A 20384-nucleotide genomic window follows, 5' to 3' on the forward strand; every position below is an offset into this window, starting at 1 on the left:
ATTTTTATTTTATTTATTTATTTTTTTTAGAGACAGAGTTTGGCATGTTGCCCAGGCTGGTCTTGAACTCCTGGGCTCAAGCAATCTGCCCACCTGGACTTCGCAAAGTACTGGGATTATAGGTGTGAGCCACCGTGCCTGGCCTTTGTTCTTTTTTTATTATTTTTATGGTACTTATTTAGATATAAGCTTAAGTTTGGGGTTCATAGTTATAATCATACTATGTGCATAACTTTATCTCCTTTGTAACATAAGTAGTTTTCCATCCTGTGATAGAATCTTGCTCTATTTCTTCATAATGATAGATTGCCTTCCTCCAATACTTACCCATTTTCCCTTGTATTTTTATTTTTATGATGCCTTCTTATGTTTGCATAACATTTAATATACTAGACCATAAACAATGTTAAAAAGATCTGAACTGTCCAAACTGTATTCATTCACTCAACAAATATTTATTGAGTGCTTAATATCTGGTAAAGATTCTTCTAGCTTCTGAGGACAAGCGAATAGGCAGATAAGGCCCCTATTTTCTGATAGGAGAGATGAAAAATAAAAATATAACATAGGCTACTGCCACTGAACACAATGGAGCAAGACCAACAAAAGTGTAAACAAAGCCCAACCACTTGGTAATTCACAAGACTCAATTTTAATCTTCATTAAGTGAAAGGGAATCAAAACTACAATTATAGATACTTGTAAGATAGTGAAAATAAGAATATTGTATAACAATATTCAGAATTGGACCAAATGTGAATTATATCACTTGGGATTCAGATCAGCTGCATATAACATCCCCAGATAGTGAGTAGGTTAATCAAGTTAGAAATATCTTTTCTTCTAATGTCACAGAAGCCTGATTGTAGGTGAACCAGAGGCTGATACAGTGGCTTCACAGTGTCATCAGAGACTCAGATTCCTGTCTTCTTTGACATTCAACAGATGACTTTCATTCTGCAGTGTACTTCATGGTTCATAATGGTTGCTAGAGCCATCATGTTGGCATTCCAGCCTTCATTTTGAGTAGACAGTACAAAGATGTGTACAAGAAGGGCACATCTTCTTTCTTTTAAAATTATTTGCATAACTCTTCCATTTACATCTTTTTAGCCAGAACTAGGTGTCTTAGTCACCCCTTGCTAGAGGGAGACTGGGAAATAGGTTCTTTTAGCAGAGCAGAGTCAGCCCTCTGTATCCACAGGCTGTGTCCTTGCAGATTCAACCAACCACAGATTGAAAATATTCAGAAAAAAATAACAATACAACAGTAAAAAAATACAGTGTAAAGACTACCTAGCGTTTACATTGTATTAGCTATTGTAAGTAATCTAGAGATTATTTAAAGTATATTGGAGAATGTGCATAGGTTAAATGCAAATATGACATCATTTTATGAAGAAACTGGAGCATCCATGGATTTTGCCATCCATGAGGTTCCTGGATCCATTCCCCCACAGATCATATATTGCTGTGACCAAGTAGCTCAAGCATGCTCTGTATTTTTTTTTTTAACTCTTAAGTTCAAAGGTATACGTGCACATTGGTTACACAGATAAACTTGTGTCATGGGAGTTCGTTGTACAGATTATTTCATCATCCAGGTATTAAGCCTGCTACCCATTTGTTTTTTTCCTGATCCTCTCCGTCCTCCCATTCTCCACTCTGTGATAGGCCCCAGTGTGTGTTGTTCCTCTCTATGTGTCCATGTGTTCTCATCATTTAGCTACCACTTATAAGTGAGAGCATGTGGTATTTGGTTTTCCATTCCTGTGTTAGTTTACTGAGGATAATGGCCTCCAGCTCCAACCATGTCCCTGCAAAGGACATGATCTTGTTCTTTTTTACGTCTGCAAGGTTCTCTGCTTATAAGGACAAAGGGGAGAATAGGGATTGGTGGGCAACTAGTCATCTACTAGTTAGCTTAGTAAGCTAAGCATTAAATCTAAGAAATAGCAAAATAAGCCTATGGAAATTAGGAAGAAGGAAAGAATCAAGGTAAAAGAAAAAATAAATTAATTTGGAAAAAAAAAAAGAAACCCAAATATTTGACAAATCAGAGATTATTGATGCCTGTTACCAAAGTAATCTCAATGGTTTGGTGGAGATGGACGGCAGATTGTCATAATATTTGGCAAGAAAGAGAACAGATGGTCATCTTGGGAGGAAGGGTCACAGAAGGCTTTGGGGTTTGTGGGGGGGCTTTGAGGGGAGGGTTATTGGTCTGTTGGTTTGAAGTGGGGAGACTTGAACATGGACATGTAGGTAGAGAAGAAGATGTAAGAGAGTTGATCTTTATATATCTCAGTAGAGATATGTTTTATTTCTAATTTCTAGAATAATGGTTTCACCTGTTTCTCAGGATTCTTGAGTTATTGTGATATGTGTGTAAATGGTTTGTACTCGTTCAACAGAGTGTCGTAAGATTAAAAAAAAAAAATTAACATGAGTCCGAGACTCCAAGTTGGAACTAAGGTCACTTAACAAGGTTTACTTGAAAGTGATTTTTTTTTTTTTTTTTTTTGAGATGGAGTCTTGCTGTCTCCCAGGCTGGAGTGCAGTGGCGTGATCTCGGCTCACTGCAAGCTCCGCCCCCCGGGTTCACGCCATTCTCCTGCCTCAGCCTCCCGAGTAGCTGGGACTACAGGCGCCTGCCACCACGCCCGGCTAATTTTTTATATATATATTTTTAGTAGAGACGGGGTTTCACTGTGTTAGCCAGGATGGTCTCGATCTCCTGACCTCGTTATCCGCCCACCTTGGCCTCCCAAAATGCTGGGATTACAGGCGTGAGCCACTGTGCCCGGCTGTTGAAAGTGATTTTTATTTGTTCTAGGTCACACAGATAATGGATTTTCACCTAGCAGAGAATTGGGGGAGGGGGCACTCCAAGAGCACCCAGGTGGTTTGAACTGACATTTTAAAAAATAACCATTGCTTTCAATTTGTTTTTAATGATATTTCCTTTGAAATTTCAAATAGCATTGAAGGAACATTTTCATGTTTATCAAAAGTGGCTTGGGATTTAAAATGATTGTGACCCATTGCCACAAACAGATAACAAAGAAGTCATCGCGCACCACCCCCAACCCCCGGTCTTGACTAAGAGACCAGTGGCATTTTACCCCGTTACCAAGTAGATTTCATCCTCCTTAATTTCTTCTAAATGGAATCATTCACGGCCATTCACCTCACCACTTGTTTAAAAATTTTTAGCCTGGCTATTGCCATTTTGGAGATTAGAGCTGAACCTTTTTATGAGAATCATCATGTTTGATTTATGAAAAAGAGAATTTACAGGAAAGGGAAATTAAAAAGAATGATCAGAAGCTAATTTCTTTTGCTCATTCAAACTAGAAAGAAGGAAGCACTTTCTCAAGTTGACATTTGAAAACCTATATTAGTGCATCTGGGAAATGAAGATAATAGAAACTATATGGGTTCTATTTGATTTATGGCAGTGTGAAGATGGCTTGCTCTTCTGATGTGGGTCCATAAGAAACTCATATACATGGCAAAAACTCATTTGCCACTTTCCTAGGAATAAAAAAAATTTTGCCATTAGTTCCTTCATAGTCTGAGATATTGGATTGAAATAAATACCATTTATATTCAGCCATTTGCACCTTCCCTTCCACACACTGGGGGAAAAAATGTGTTTTGCCTGTTAGAAATGTTAAAAATCATGTAAATAAAATTTGAGCAGCTCTTAGAGTTTGTTAGCTTTTTCTCTACCAGTTTTAGAATCTTTCTGATGTGATATTTTTCTAGCTTTGGAGCTTGTCAAAAAAGGAAAAAAAATATCTATCTATCTATCTATCTATCTATCTATCTATCTATCTATCTATCTATCTCTCTATGTTAAAAACCTGAAGGGATATATCATCATTCATTTCTCCTCCTAACACGTGAACCACATCATGAGATGTGGGGAGACCCCGACCTGGTCCAGTGGCTGAAGGAACACTTCATTTTATTTTTGTTCACTCTTATCTGTTGACTCCATTGACTTTCAAAGCTAACTATTTAAAGATTTATGTCACCAGAAAGCACATTTCCCTTCTTTTCTTCTCCTGGCTTATGAAAGCAAATTACCATCTTTTGCCTTTATGTTCTTTGAAAATATCTGGTAGACTCTGAAAAACACTGGAGAATTCCCAGGTTGTAGGTCCATTTGTCTGTTTATAACCCATTATGACATGACCATGTCTTCACCATTCCTCCTAGCGTAAAGGCAGTGATTCTTTTTGGACTCCTGGTTGCCATTTTCTGGGTGTGGTAGGACTGAGGACAGGGATTAGAGGAAAGCTAGAGACTGCCTAGTTTTCTAGAACTTCCTCATAATCTCTGAAAGGGAAATAGGGAAGTAGAGAAGCAGAGTCCACAACAAACACAAACCTACCACCTTTGGTGTCATTCTCAGATCAGGAAAACAAAACAAAACCCAAAACAAAAAAACTACCACCTGCCCATCTCTTAGTGGAGGTGCAGTTTGGATACAGTCATTTCATTATCAAACACAAAGATTATATCCTACAACATCTGTGTGATAGGGGAAGTCAAGTTTGAAGAATTAAGCTCTTTAAAGCAAAATTTAGATCAAAGTTGGGAATTGTAGCAATCAGTGAAAACCCTTCTAAATATTATGTTCATTTAGTAAAAGGACCAAGGAAATAATGTTGAATAGAGAATATTAGTAACATTTTATACACCTTTAATTAGTAATGAGTACTATTCAATGAATTTCTACTTTTCTGTTTCTTTCTTGCAACTAAAATTTCAGATTCTCCTACAGCATCCACGTGATAATTATAAATTTGTTTTGTCCTGTGTTTGTGCATAGTAAATACAGGCCTTGTCTTTTTTTTCCCCCCTGTCTGACCCATGACTGAGCTATTGACTTTCAGGGTCCACTGGGCTCAAGAAACCCAGATAATTTCGTGCTTGAAATTAAAAACCTGTGGGTAAATTTTATTTAATCCATTTAATGTATCCTATTTCAAACTTACTTTCTAACACATTAGTTACCTATAGTGCACCCACGGTAACTTTACACCAGACCTCCCTAGAATTCAGCAGAGCTGCTCCAATTATTCAGCTGATTCTTTTCCTGCCATTATATTCTTCTTCTTTTTTTTTTTTTTTTGGAGACAGAATCTTACTCTGATGTCCAGACTGGAGTGTAGTGGCGAGATCTTGGCTCACTGCAACCTCCGCCTCCCGGGTTCAAGCGATTCTCCTGCCTCAGCCTCCCGAATAGCTGGAATTAAAGGTGTGTGCCACCACGCCTGGCTAATCTTTTGTATTTTTAGTAGAGATGAGGTTTCATGTTGGCCAGGCTGGTCTTGAACTCCTGACCTCAGGTGATCCACCCGCCTCAGCCTCCCAAAGTGTTGGGATTACAGGCATGAGCCGCTGTGCCTGGCTCACCATTAGAACCTAATTCTAAAGTGCATTTTTAAGGCCTGGGTTTGTTTTGTCTTTTAATTCTTACTTGTGACTGTAATCCAGAACCTTCTACTGCTCTGCCTTTTATTTTATATCCCTTTCTCTCTTACCAATACCTAGGTCTTTCTTTTTCCTAATGTCTCCTTTAGGAGTGATTCAGAATTCTTATATATTTTCATTTAAATCTTCACAGTTAAGGAAAATACATAGAGGAATATATCTACAAGCAGTAGCAGGATTTTGCAAACAGGAAACTGGTGTTCAAACAAGAATTATTGTGTCAGATGGCAGAATCTGAAAGTAGTTCTTTCTCAACAGAAATGGTAGTGACTGGTGTGAGGGGTCAGGAAACTGCAGCTCAGGGCCCAAATCTGGCGTGACTTGTTTTTATAAATAAAGTTTTATTGGAACACAGCCATGCTGCTGCTGCTTTTTTTGTTGTTGTTGTTGTTGTTGAGATAGGGACTTGCTCTTTTGACCAGGCTGGGGTGCAATGGCCCAATCACAGCTCACTGCAGCCTCAGTCTCCTGGGCTCAAGCGATCCTCCCACCTCAGCCTCCCCAGTAGCTGGGACCACAGGCATGCACCATCACACCTGGCTAATTTTTAAAATTTAATTTTAGTAGAGATGAGGTCTTGCTATGTTGTGCAGGTAGGTCTCAAACTCCTGGCTCAAGTGATCTTCTCACCTTGGCCTCTTAAAGTGCTGGGATTGTAGGCATGAGCTGCCACGCCTGGTCACCATGATTCTTGTTTACATATTGTCTGTGGTGCTTTCCTGCCACACTGGCAGAGTGGGGTAGCTGCCACAGAGACCATTTGGTTCTCAAAGCCTAAAATATTTACTATGTTTACATGGTATTTATAGAAAAAGTTAGCTGACCCCTGGATTAGACTCACCATTAGGATACTCGGAAACTGCTCTGCTAAGACTTTACTCATGAATTGCCCTATCTATAATGGCTTCCTCGTTCATCCTCCTGAATGCAGTGCTATTTCACCTTGCTCACCATCAGTTTCCTCTTGAAACTCTCTCCTTTGGGGGTTTTAGAAGATTTTGCTCTCATTGTTTTTTTCTTCTTTGCTGGCATCTTCCCCTCATCTTTTGACAATCTTGCTTGAGCATATCATTGTATCCTCCCTCACCCCGCCACCCTGTTTGCACACCTAGGTTCTGTTTCCGTATTTTGAACTCAACGTGCTGCTTACACATATTCACAGTTTTTTGTTTTTTTCTTTTCTTTTCTTTGAGACAGAGTCTCCCTCTGTCACCCAGGCTAGAGTGCAGTGGCATGATCTCGGCTCACTGTACCCTCAGCCTCCCGGGTTCAAGTGATTCTCCTGCCTCAGCCTCCCGAGTAGCTGGGACTACAGGTGTGGGCCACCACGCCTGGCTCATTTTTGTATTTTTAGCAGAGACAGGTTTCACCATGTTAGCCAGTTTGGTCTTGAACTCCTGACCTCTGGTGATCCGCCTGCCTGGGCCTCCCAAAGTGCTGGGATTGCAGGCGTGAGCCACCATGCCCTGCCATATTCCCCAGTTTTTTGCTGGCACCTTGGAATCTAAAGGAACACAACTGAGCTTATTGTCTCTGTTCTCAAGCCTGCCTTCCTCCTTGCTAGCTCCAGCTGTGTAGTTCTCCAGTCACATCACACCAGGGGGAGGTCATTTTTCTATTCTTGTAACATTTAGCCCCAGCCTTCACAGTTGCTAGATGATGTTTATATTAGGTTTCTTGGGCTTTCTTCCTAATGATTAAGGTAATACATGCTGAATGCATGCTTTTTAAATCTTATGTTTATGGGTGGGTGTGGTGGCTCATGCCTGTAATCCCGGCACTTTGGGAGGCCAAGGTGGGCAGATCACTTGAGGTCAGGAGTTCAAGACCAGCCTGGCCAACATGGCAAAGCCCCATCTCTACTAAAAATACACAAATTAGCTGGGTGTTGTGGTGCACATCTATAATCCCAGCTGCTTGGGAGACCGAGACAGGAGAATCGCTTGAACATGGGAGGTGGAGGTTGCAGTGAGCCGAGATTGTGCCACTGCACTCCAGCCTGGGTGACAAAGCAAGACTCAGTCTCAAAAAACAAAACAATACAAAATAGTCTTATGTTTATATATGTAGATGTATATTTGTACATACATAGCCATATTGTTTTAATGTATCATGCTATATGTATAATGTAGTCTGTTTTTAAGGAAAATAATTACTTTATCAAATTTGCTCTCATAAAATATACAGAAATATAAAAATGAAAACCACCCTGGTTGGACCCCCATTTCCTTCCCGCTTAAGTTTCACTCCCTAGAAGGAGTATCTATTTATAATTTAGAAACCATCTTTATTGACATGTTTAGTTTATACTAACTATACTTGAATTTTTAAAGTGCAAATTGAATCATGCTTTGCATACTGCCTACAAGTTGCTTTTTTTGTTTGTTTAACAATATGTTTAATGTGTTTTACCTCTTTGTATACAAGCAGTTTTACCTCAGTGTTTAATTAGTTGCATTGTATTCCATGGATATGTCATTCATTTTAACGACTTTCTTTTTTTTTTTTTTTTTTTTGAGACGGAGTCTCGCTCTGTCACCCAGGCTGGAGCGCAGTGGCGTGACCTTAGCTTACTGCAAGTTCTGCCTCGTGGGTTCACACCATTCTCAGCCTCCCAAGTAGCTGGGACTACAGGTGCCTGCCACCACACCTGGCTATTTTTTTTGTATTTTTTAGTAGAGATGGGGTTTCACCATGTTAGCCAGGATGGTCTTGATCTCCTGACCTCATGATCCACCTGCCTTGGCCTGCCAAAGTGCTGGGATTACAGTTGTGAGCCACCGCGCCTGGCCCATTTAACGACTTTCTGATGGTTACTTCCATTTGTCTGTGATTATAAACAGTTGAGCATACTTTTATTTTTCAATAAACTTGTATTTTGGAACAGTTTTATGATGGTAGATACCATTCTTTCACTTCCAGATATAGGACTCCCTTAAACATTTCTTGTACAGTCAGTCTAGTGGTGAGGAATTATCTGTTTTTACTTGTCTGGGAAAGACTTTATTTCTCCTTCATTTCTGAAGGATAGTTTTGCTGGATTTGATAAGCAGTTTTTTTCTTTCAGTACTTTGATTGTATCATCCCATTCTCTCCTGTTCTATAAGGGTTCTGCTAAGAAATTTGCTCTTAGTCTAATGGAGATTCCCTTATATATGACTTGACACTCTTGCTGTTTTTAGAATTCTCTTTCACTTTTGACAGCTTGACTATAGTGTGCCTAGAGAAGACCTTTTTGGATTGAATATATGTGGGGATCTTTGAGCCTGCTGTATCTGGTTGTCTATCTCTCTCTCTCAAGACTTGGAGAAATTTTAAACTATTATTTTATTAAATAGGTTTTTTATGCCTTTGTCCATTTCTTCTCTTTCTGGAACTCCTGAAATTCAAATATATGTTTGCTTTATGGTGTCCTGCATGTCACATAGGCTTTCTGTATACTTTTAAATTATCTTTTTTAAAAAAAATCCGAGTTGTTTCAAAAGTCTTGTCTTCGAGTTCAGAAGTTCTTTCTTCCACTCTAATCTCTTGTTGATGCTCTTGATTTTATTTTTTATTTCATTCATTGAATTCTTCTGTTCCAAGATTTCTGATTTGGTTCTATTTTAGGATATCTGTATCTTTGTATTGTTGATCTGTGTTATAATCCACTGAGTTTCCCCAAGATCATTATTTTGAATTCTTTTCAGGCATTTCATAAATTTCCTTTTCTTTGAGATCTTTTACTGGAGAATTACGATTTTCCTTTGGAGGAGATATAGTTTGGATGTTTGTCCCCTCCAAATCTCATGTTGAAATGTGATCCCCAATGTTGGAGGTGGGGCCTGGTAGAAGGTGTTTAGGTCATGGAGACAGATCCCTCAGGAATGAGTTGGCGCTGTCCTTGTGATAGTGCGTGAGTTCTTGCAAGACCTGGTTGTGTAAAAGTGTGTGGCACCTTTCTCCTCCTTCGCTCTTGCTCCCACTCTCACCAGGTGATGCACCTGCTGCCCCTTCACCTTCCACCGTGAGTGTATGCCTCCTGAGGCCTCACCAGAAGCAGGACACAGCACCATGCTTCCTGTACACCGTGCAAAACTGTGAGCGAATTAAACCTCTTTTCTTCATAAATTACCCAGCTTTAGGTATTCTTTTTTTTTTTTTGAGACAGAGTTGCTCTGTCACCCAGGCTGGAGTGCAGTGGCGCGATCTCAATATCAGCTCACTGCAGACTCCACCTCCCAGGTTCAAGTGATTCTCATGCCTCAGCTTCCCAAAGTGCTGGGATTATAGGCGTGAGCCACTGAGCCCGGCTAAGTATTCTTTTATAGTGGTGCAAATGGACTAACACAAGAGGTATCATGTTTTCTTGCTTCCTCATCGTTCTTGTGTCCTTATCATTGATATCTTACACCTGGTTTAATGGTCACTTCTTCCAATTTTATGGATTAGCTTTCAGAGGCAAAGACTTTTTCCTGTAGATGTATTTATACTATTGGTTGGGTAGTGGTTCTGGGTGGGCGCAGCAGTGTAGTCTTTTTATGACTTTTTTGATTGTAATCAATGTCAGTGGTGTCTGAGAGTTCCTCTCAGTGGCATAGGCTGTGGTTGTTAGTGGAGGCTGTGGTAGGGCTTTGCTGGGAAGGGGATACCAGCCCGATCATTCGTAAGGCACCAGTCAGTGGTGGTGGCAGCATGGCCCTGGATGGCAGACAAAGATGCCAGTGGTGGCTGTGGGGTCCTGGTCGGGCCAGTCTTTGGGCCTCCAGGTGGCATGCTCATGCAATAGTGGTGGCAGTCATGGGCTGGGCCTGTGTGTTCTTAGGCCCCAGGCAGTGTGCCATGGTGCTGGCTCTAGCAGTAGTGGCAGCGGACCAATCCTCAGGCCCCTGGGAGACACGCAGGTGGTGACAGTGGGCGGTGACAGGTGGAGTGGGTTGATCCCCAGGCTCCTGGACAGTGTGTGCAGATGGGCAGACACATCTTCATGCCCAGAGAAACCACGTTTTCAGGGCACCTGAAGGTGTGTGCAGGTACATTGGCAGCCCTGCCAGGGGTTGCTACTGGTGACTGTGGCCCTAGGCAGGTAGCTCCCAGGCTTTGGAGAACACATGTTTTGGCTCTTTTCGTCCTGGGAGTAGTCATCCTGGTGTGTTGGCCATCTGTTTCCCAAGGCATAGGACATGGGGTGGACTAGAGTGCTGGGGACCTGGCCACATCACTGGGTCTGGCTGGCATTGTGCTGCTACAGCCTTCTGGAAGAACATGGGAGATGCCAGCAGGGCTCCAGAGATGTGGAGATGCAGGGGCTATTGGTCTCCAGGGCAGGATGCAGTCTGGTGGGGGTTGAGCTCAATACGGTGCTGTGATGTAGTTGCTTGGGGCTCCTGGTGTGAGTGGGACCCAGTGTGAATTCTCTCTCTGGAACAGTTAGTCATGTGGATTCCAGAAAGCCTCCTGTACCAGGCTTAGGGCTTGTGAGAGCTGAGGGACTCTTCTGGGGGTAGGGTTGCAGGTGTCAGTGGTGGGGATGTGGGCCACTGGGGACCTCTCACTTACCTTTCCCCTTTCCTTCTGTGTCTTAGACATTCTCAGTCACTTCCCTGCCAAAAACCCCATATTGTCTCTTAGATGCTCTTTTCGAGGTGTGGTTATCTACTTGCTATTCTGGTCCTTCTTTGTGGAGGAGGTGAGTACCAAGCGCCTCTAGTCAACCATCTTGATGACATCTCCTATGACAGTTTTAGATTTACAGAAAAATTACAAAGATAGTACAGAATTCCCATGCACACCCCCTTTCCCAGCACACACCGTTTCTGTTATTGTTAACGTTTTACATTACTATGGTACATTTGTTACAATTTATGAACCAATATTTTTTGTTGTTTATTTTTTGAGATGGAGTCTCGCTCTGTCACCCAGGCTGGAGTGCAATGGCACAATCTCGGCTCACTGCAACCTCTGCCTCGTGGGTTCAAGCAATTCTCCTGCCTCAGCCTCCCGAGTAGCTGGGATTGCAGGTGTCAACCACCATGCCTGGCTAATGTTTGTATTTTCAGTAGAGATGGGGTTCCACTATATTGGCCAGGCTGGTCTTGAACTCCTGACATCAGGTGATCCACTCGCCTCAACCTCCCAAAGTATTGGGATTACAGGTGTGAGCCACCGTGCCCGGCCTATGACCAATATTAATACATAAAATTCATACATTTATTTAGATTTCTTTAGGTTTGGCTGAACGGATGCCCCTTTTATATTCCAGGATCCCATTCAGGATAGCACCTTACATTTAATGGACTTACTTCCTTAGGCTTCTCTAGGCGGGACAGTTTCTCAGACTTCCCTTGTCTTTGATACCTTGAAAGTTTTGAGCAGGACTGGTCAGGTATTTTGTAGAATGTCCCTTGATTAGGATTTTTCTGATACTTTTCTTGTGATGAAATCGTGCTTATGTGTTTTGGGGAGGAAGACCAGAGAGCTGTAATAAAATTTGTATATATTAAGGCTCATTCTTTGTGCTATAAAGTTCTGTGATTTTGATTAGTAAAGACTGTTATGTTTTAGGGGGAAAGTATGCACTTTCTTACTATTAAGTTTGCTATTGGCAGTAGGTTTTCTGTAGATATTTTTTATTATGTTGGGGAAGTTCCTCTTAATTCCTTGTTTGCTGAGGATTTTTTTTTTTTTTTTTTTTTTTTGTGATGGAGCCTTGCTGTGTCGCCTAGGCTGGAGTGCAGTGGCACGCTCTTAGCTCACTGCAGCCTCTGCCTCCTGGGTTCATGTGATTCTCCTGCCTCAGCCTCCTGAGTAGCTGGGATTACAGGTGTGCGCCACCACATGTGGCTAATTTTTGTATTTTTAATAGAGACAGGGTTCAGCTGTGTTGGTCAGGCTGGTCTCAAACTCCTGACCTTGTGATCTGCCCGCCTTCGGCCTCCCAAAGTGCTGGGATCACAGGCGTGAGCCACCATGCCTGGCCTGCTAAGGATTTTATCATGAATAGATGTTGGCTTTTGTCAAATGCTTTTCATCGTCAATTGATATGATCATATGATTTTTCTGTACTAGCCTGCCAATGTGTGATGTTGAATGAATTTTGAATGTTGAACCAGCCTTGCATACCTGGAATAAATCCCAGCTGGTCAGCAGGTATATTATTATTGTTATTATTTTTTTCTGGAGACGGAGTCTTGCTCTGTCGCCCAGGCTGGAGTGCAGTGGCATGATCTTGGCTCACTGCAAGCTCCGCCTCCCGGGTTCATACCATTCTCCTGCCTCAGCCTACCGTGTAGCTGGGACTACAGGTGCTCGCCACCACGCCTGGCTAATTTTTTTGTATTTTTAGAAGAGACGGGGGTTTCACTGTGTTAGCCAGGATGGTCTCGATCTCCTGACCTCGTGATCTGCCCGCCTCAGCCTCCCAAAGTGCTGGGATTACAGGCGTGAGCCACTGCACCCGCCCTCTTTTCATTTTTGATATTGGTAATTTGTGTCTTCTCTCCGTTTTTCTTGATTAGCCTGGCTAGAAGTTTGTTAATGTAATTTTATTTTTCCAGAGCCAAATTTTTGTTTTGTTGATTATTCTCTTTTGGTTTTCTCTTACCTATTTTATTGATTTCTGCTCTGACTTTTATAATTTATTTTCCTCTGCTCACTTTAGCTTAAATTGCTCTTGTTTTTCTACTTTCCTAAAATGAAGGCTTCGATTACTGATTTTTTTCACTTAGTAATATATCGTGATCCTTTGTCTAAGTATTATATTACCTCAAGTTTAAATTGCTGCATATTCATTAGTTGGGTTTGTCATGATTTTCTTAACCCATCTACTATTAAATAGCACTGCAAAAATTTATGTACACCTTTGCACATATTTCTGATCATTTACTTAAATTCTGGAAGGCAAATTCCAGGGATAGGAGGCTACAGTTGTAAAGTTTAACAGATATTTCCGAATTTGCCCTTTAGTAAGGTTATATCTCATGGTCTTGTCATTTTTGCACATTCTTACATGATGAAGTACAACTCCAGATGTTAATATTTCATCATTATCAGCTTTATAAACAATAACATATATGTCTGATTTTAATGTTAATGTTTTACAGTATACTATATCACTAAGGTGTATAAAAAGTGTACAGCTGACTTTCTGTAAGTTCAACTCACCAGTATAACTAGCAGTCCAAAGGCATTTTTCCTGTTTCTTCCCTGTCATCCCCCACCTCCAAAGGTAGCCACTATTCCCAATCATTCAATATAGTCTTTTATTTTGACTAGCTTCTTTAGTAGCATTATGTCTATCATTTAGCCATGCTGTATGTAGTAATAGTTAATTTTTTTCATTCCTTTGAAGAATTCCATTGTAACAATATCACAAAATTTTATTTTATTTTATTTATTTATTTATTTTTTTGAGACAGAGTCTTGCTCTGTAGCCCAGGCTGGAGTGCAGTGGCACAATCTCGGCTCACTGCAAGCTCTGCCTCCCGGGTTCACGCCATTCTCCTGCCTCAGCCTCCCAATTAGCTGGGACTACAGGCGCCCGCCACCACGCCCGGCTAATGTTTTGTATTTTTTTTAGTAGAGATGGGGTATCACTGTGTTAGCCAGATGGTCTCGATCTCCTGACCTCGTGATCAGCCCGCCTCAGCCTCCCAAAGTGCTGGGATTACAGACATGAGCCACCACGCCTGGCCCCAAAAATTTTTAAGTTGAGCCAGAGGCGGTGGCTAGTGCCTGTAGTCTTACCGGGAGGCTGAGGTGGGCGAATCCCTTGAGCCCAGGAGGTTGAGGCTGCAGTGAGCTGTGATTGCACCACTGCACTCCAGCCTGAGCCACAGAGCAAGACCCTATCTCTTAATTAATTAATTAAAATTGTTTCCAATTTGTGTCTATTATGAACATTGCAACTCTGAATATTTTTGTTACATGTGTCTATTGTTGTAATATGTGTTTAATTATTTGTGATATTGAAATAATTTATATTTTTGTTAACAATTTCTATTCTTTTTGAAGTATCTGTTTTGGTTCCTTGCCAGTTTTTTCTTTTGAGATGTTTGTGATTTTTTATGACTTGCAAATGTGTTTTATTAAGGACTTAAGGACTTAAGGTATGTGTATACATATACATATACATATACATATACATATACATATACATATACACACATTTATCTATATATTTTTAAAATTTTTCACTTTTTTGAATTGGAGTCTCACTCTGTTGGCCAGGCTGGAGTGCAGTGATGCGATTTCGGCTCACTACCACCTCTGCCTCCCGGGTTCAAGCAATTCTCCTGCCTCAGTCTCCTGTGTAGCTAGGATTATAGGTGCCTGCCACCATGCCCAGCTAATTTTTGTACTTTTAGTAGAGATAGGGTTTCACCACGTTGGCCAGGCTGATTTCGAACTCCTGACCTCAAGTGATCTGCCCACCTCGGCCTCCCAGAGTGCTGGGATTAGAGGCGTGATCCACTGTGCCCGGCCTCTCTATTTCTTTTTTAAGGTATGATAAGACACAGGGATATTTCACCCTCCCCAAGTGGATAAATGATTGAACCAGCATCATTTGTTGGATAATTCATTCTCTACCTCCATGATTTCTAATGGTGGCCTCTCATAATTAAGTTTCCATGTATGCTTGAATCTGTTTCTGAGCTTTCTACTGTGTTATATTGGTTAGTTTTTCTCTCTTGTCACTTACCTCACTAAGTTAGCATAGCTTTATAGTAAGCCTTGTTTTCTAGCATAAAATACATGCTATGTTCTTCAAAATTGTTTTTTTCCAGAATGGTCTTGCCTGTGCTTATCCTTTAATTACATTTTCATATTTATTTTAGAATCAGGTTTTGTTTTCACACACATACAACTTTGAGATATTGATTAGAATGCATTGAATTTGTAGATTAATTTGGAAAAGTTGCCATCTTTATGAAGCCATGTCTTCCATTTATTTTAAAATTGCCTGTCCTGTCACTTTAATTTTCTTTCACTAAAGCTTATGTTCTAATTGTAGATTAGGTTGGCTCTCTTTCTGAAATGTTAGATTACCACGTATCTTTTGGAATTTTGGTTTGCAGGCTCATCTTGAGTAGGTGTTATTTTTGCATGCCTGTGTGCTCTAACGGGCAGCTAGGTCCAATTCCTGGCCAGGAGATTGTTTCATTGTATGTTTTAACCAGCTTTATTTGATTTTCATTTTATCTGTGTTGCAGTGTGGATGTCTCAGGAGATGAATTTATAGCACTTATTTGACCATGTGTCCATTATATATATATTATTTAGTAAATAATGCACATTAGATAAAGAAGGATTTTGCATGGAAGGCTTAATTTTTGGCATCCTAATGTTAGTATAATAAGTGTGGTCTACTCTTCTTTCTGGGCTCATCTTCCTATCATTCCAGATTCACGTTCTTATGTGTCAGACATAAAGTAGACTGCTGTACCCCCAGGCATATCTTGTCACTAATAAGCTTTCCAGGGAGGAAACTTTATAGGCTTACTTCACGGACTGAGTCACCTTCTAAAGAGTCTGGTTTTTGTTTTTGTTGTTTTGCAAGACCAAGCTTCGGCACAGGGAGGTTAATTGATGGGTTAAAAACATTCTGGACCGGGCGCAGTGGCTCACGCCTGTAATCCCAGCACTTTGGGAGGCCAAGTTGGGCGGATCACAAGTTCAGGAGATCGAGACCATTCTGGCTAACACGGTGAAACCCTGTCTCTATTAAAAATACAAAAAAAACAAAAAAACAAAAAAATTGGCCGGGCGTGGTGGCGGGTGCCTGTAGTCCCAGCTACTCAGGAGGCTGAGGCAGGAGAATGGCGTGAACCCGGGAGGCAGAGCTTGCACTGAGCCAAGATTGCACCACTGCACTCCAGCCTGGGTGACAGAGCAAGACTCTGTCTCAAAAAAAAAAAAAAAAAAAAAAATTCTGAACATCCCTGGACTATAGAGTTTTTGCATTTGAATGATTAATTTTCCAGGGAGGGAGTATTTGCTATAATATTTGGGACTTTGGGAACTTGTAGATTGGTACAAGTAATATTTCTGGAGAAATAGACCTGCTCTAAGGCATATTGATTTTAGAGATGTATAGTTTGGGGCTGCCCTATATTCCTTTAAAATTTACTTTGTCTCAGTCGTTTTGTGAAGCATAATTTGGCTGTCTTAAATATCCTTCTCATACCCTGTCTTCTGCACACATGGAGTCCAGTTATTTCTATTCATTTGTATTTGATGCAGGAGTGATGGATAGATTTTGTGTGCAGGAACATTGCCAGAGATTTTACTTTTGTCAATATCCTCGGACATCCAAGTCAGTACGTTGCTTGAAGTCATGGGAGTCTGAGATGACATCCTGGTTTAGGCAATAACATGATCTTCTGCTGATTGATTTTTATGACATTGTTTCTCTTATTTCTGTTTACTATTCTGTAGATAGGGCACCTCTCTTGTTCATCTTGTGGTGGTGGTTTTAGATTTTTTAGAAAGCTCTTCTCCCAGATGGAAAGTATATAGAGTAGCCCTTAGGATTTTATAGTTGCATCTTTCTTTCTCTAGAAACCTTACCACTTATTTATTCTCTTTCAGCTATTTTGTCTTCAGCTGTTTACATTTTGTATTCCTTACTAGTCATTCGTTCTTTGAATATTCTCATTTCTTTGTCCTTTTCCATACAATTCCCATGTTGTAAATTTCCGCATTCTGCTTCTCAGGGCACATATCATTTTCATACTATGGACTGTCTTGTTCAAAATGTCAGTAAGCACCCTCATCTAATTTCTCCCAACCTCCAAAGGATGAGGAAACATTGCTCCATACTACTCATTTGATTTTCCCAAAGTGTAAATACCACAGTAGTATTTACACTAAAATTCCAGTGGGAATTTTATTTCTGCCATTACATGGTTACTTTGCTTACAGTCCCTCTTTTTCACATTCTGCTGCCAGTGCTCCGAGCCTCTTCTGTGTGCATCTTGCACCTCTCAGCTTTCTTGCGCTCATCTCTTCTTGTGGTTTCACCCTCCGCTTACTCCTTCACACAGATGATATCTTCCTGCACACTAACCAAGTTGCCGGGTGGATGTCAAGCTCTGTTTTTCTGTTTCCTGTTGTAAGTAACCTGTAGAGTACATGACTCTTCAGGCTCTGGCCACACTGTCCTACGATTCAGTTGATGTGCATGATCTTCTTAGGTTCTACTGAACTCAAGGCATGTCTTTTCTACTCTCTGCCAAATTTCTGATCTTTAAGCAGGAGAATTTTTTTTTTTTTTTTCTGAGACAGAGTCTTGCTCTGTCGCTCAGGCTGGAGTGCAGTGGTGTGATCTCAGCTCTCTGCAACCTCCGCCTCCTGGGTTCAAGTGATTCTCATGCCTCAGCCTTCTGAGTAGCTGAGTTTACAGGCATGCGCTACCACGTCCAGCTAATTTTTGTATTTTTAGTAGAGATGGGGTTTCACCATGTTGGCCAGGCTGGTCTCGAACTCCTGACCTCAGATGATCCGCCCACCTTGGTCCCCCAAAGTGCTGGGATTACAAGCGTAAACCACCACGCCTGGCAGAGCAGGAGAGTTTTAAGTATCTACTGTAATGGATAGCGGAGATCAGGCATATCAAGAGACTGTTAAACCCAACCAATCTCATCTTAAGTATCAATACTATTAAAAAGTGTGTATGTATACGTGTTTTCTGATCCCAAAACTTTTGTTGTATTTCCTTCTAAACCTTAATTTTTTTGGTGTAGATAGATTTATATTATTAATGCCATGCTGCGTTTATAAGTTTGTTTTCAGCTTTTAAAAAATTCATTTAAATTTTTTTGGTGTAGATATATTTATATTGTTAATGCCATGCTGCATGTATAAGTTTGTTTTCAGCTTTTAAAAAATTCATCATTGTAACATAAAAATTACCCCTTGCAGCCAGGTGTTATAGCTAATGCCTGTAATCCCAGCATTTTGGGAGGCCGAGGTGGGTGGATCACTTGAGGTCAGGAGTTCGAGACAAGCCTGGGCAACATAGCGAAACATCTCTACTAAAAAATACAAAAAAAATTGGCTGGATGTGATGGCATGTGCCTGTAGTTCCAGCTACTCAGGAGGCTGAGGTGGGAGGATGGTTTGAGCTTGGGAAGTCAAGGCTGCAGTGAGCTATGATGGCACTATTGCATTCCAGCCTGGGCAACAGAGCAAAACTGTCTCAAAAAAAAAAAAAAAAAGTTACCCCTTGTCAACAAATACTCCTCTAAAACAGTTATTCTCAATGGGAACGAGGTACAAAAAATAAGTCTCCCTCTCTTTCTGAGAGTCACATCTAGATTGACCCTGCTATTGTTAGGAGGATGTTCCTCAGATATGTTGGGGTTCGTGACCATTGTTCTGAAATAACATCTTTAGTGTTAGCTAAAGGGTGATATCATAAATCATCTAGCCATTCCTTGGGATTGAACATCTTGTCATCATCTTGAGTTTGTAGTGTCTCGTTATTATAAAGCTAGAATAAACATGCTTATTCATCAGTCTTTGTTCATAATTTTCATCATGTCCATAGGCTACATTTTTAGAAATGCAATTACTAGGTCAACAGATTTGAATATTTTTCAGATTCTTTAATCATCTTGCCATGTTACTTTTCTAAACGTTGGTACTGAATTACACTCCCACCGTCAATGAACAAATATGCCTGTCGTGCTAAACTCTAGGCAGCACTGAATATTGCTGTTTAAAAAAAAATCTTTGCCAATTTGATAAGCCCAAATAGTACCTCATTACTGCTTCAATTTGCATATCTTTGATTACTAGTAAGTCAGTACCATATTTTAGGAGACCATTTTATCTTGTTTTGACACAGCCTCAACTAGAGTATGTGTTGAATTGCAACTGTCAAGATAAATCATTGAAATTAAAAGCTGTAATCCTGGGTTATAATAACCTCATCCAGTCTATGTAGCACTGAAAGCTGCCTAATTAGAAGCAACAGAACTCTAACTCATGACTATATATTTTTAAACTTTTAATTGTGGATTTTTGTAATACTCAAGAGGGGAGAGAATAATATAACCAATTCCGTGTAACCATCATCTTAGCTTTGACAACCATCAGCATTCTACAGTTCTGATTTTCTCTATCTTCCCAGTTTTGGCAGTAGGGAAGGCATTGGAATATTTAAAATCTAATAACAGACATAATATCATTTTATCCGTGAATACTTCTGTATACAACATATAAAGAATTTTTAGGGCCAGGCGTGGTGGCTCACACCTGTAATCCCAGCACTCTGGGAGGCCGAGGCAGGCAGATCGCTTGAGCTCAGGTATTTGAGACCAGCCTGGGCAACATAGCAAAACCTCGTCTCTACAAAAAAATTACAAAAATTAGCCAGGTGCGGTGGCACACACCTCTAGTCCCAGCTGTTTGGGGGGCTGAGGCAGGAGGATCACTTGAGCCAGGGAGGTGAAGGCTGCAGTGAGCCAAGATCGTGCCACTGCACTCCAGCCTGGGCAACAGAATGAGACCCTGTCTCAAAAATAAAATAAAATAAAGACTTTTTAGGCCAGGCACAGTGGCTTATGCCTGTAATCCCAACACTTTGGGAGGCCAAGGTGGGTGGATCACTTGAGGCCAGGAGTTTGAGACCAGCCTGACAATATAGCGACACTCCATCTCTACAAAAAAATTAAAAATAAAAAAATAAGCTGGACATGGTTGTGTGCACCTGTAGTCCCAGCTACTCAGGAGGCTGAGGTAGGATAATCTTTTGAGGAGCCCAGGAGTTTGAATTCCAGGTACAGTGAGCTATGATTGTGCCACTGCTCTCCAGCCTGTGTGACAGAGCGTGAACCTCTCAACAAAAAACAAACGAAAAGACTTTTAAAATTTGAATGCCTCCTCCCAGTACT

At 40.8% G+C, this 20384-nt stretch overlaps 1 protein-coding gene and 1 long non-coding RNA gene across 6 annotated transcripts in view; one reads left to right on the top strand and one right to left on the bottom strand.

Moving 5' to 3' along the window:
- Positions 1-20384, top strand: part of TYW1 (tRNA-yW synthesizing protein 1 homolog) — a 242682-nt gene that overhangs the window by 149089 nt on the left and 73209 nt on the right. The window lies entirely within an intron of this gene.
- Positions 634-12152, bottom strand: LOC124901666 (uncharacterized). The gene is made up of 2 exons (XR_007060373.1): positions 11790-12152; positions 634-11219 (listed from the first exon to the last, which is right to left on the bottom strand). It is a non-coding gene; the product is annotated as an uncharacterized LOC124901666 (long non-coding RNA).

This window comes from Homo sapiens, chromosome 7 (genome assembly GCF_000001405.40).
Source record: "Homo sapiens chromosome 7, GRCh38.p14 Primary Assembly".
Lineage (NCBI taxonomy): Eukaryota > Metazoa > Chordata > Mammalia > Primates > Hominidae > Homo > Homo sapiens.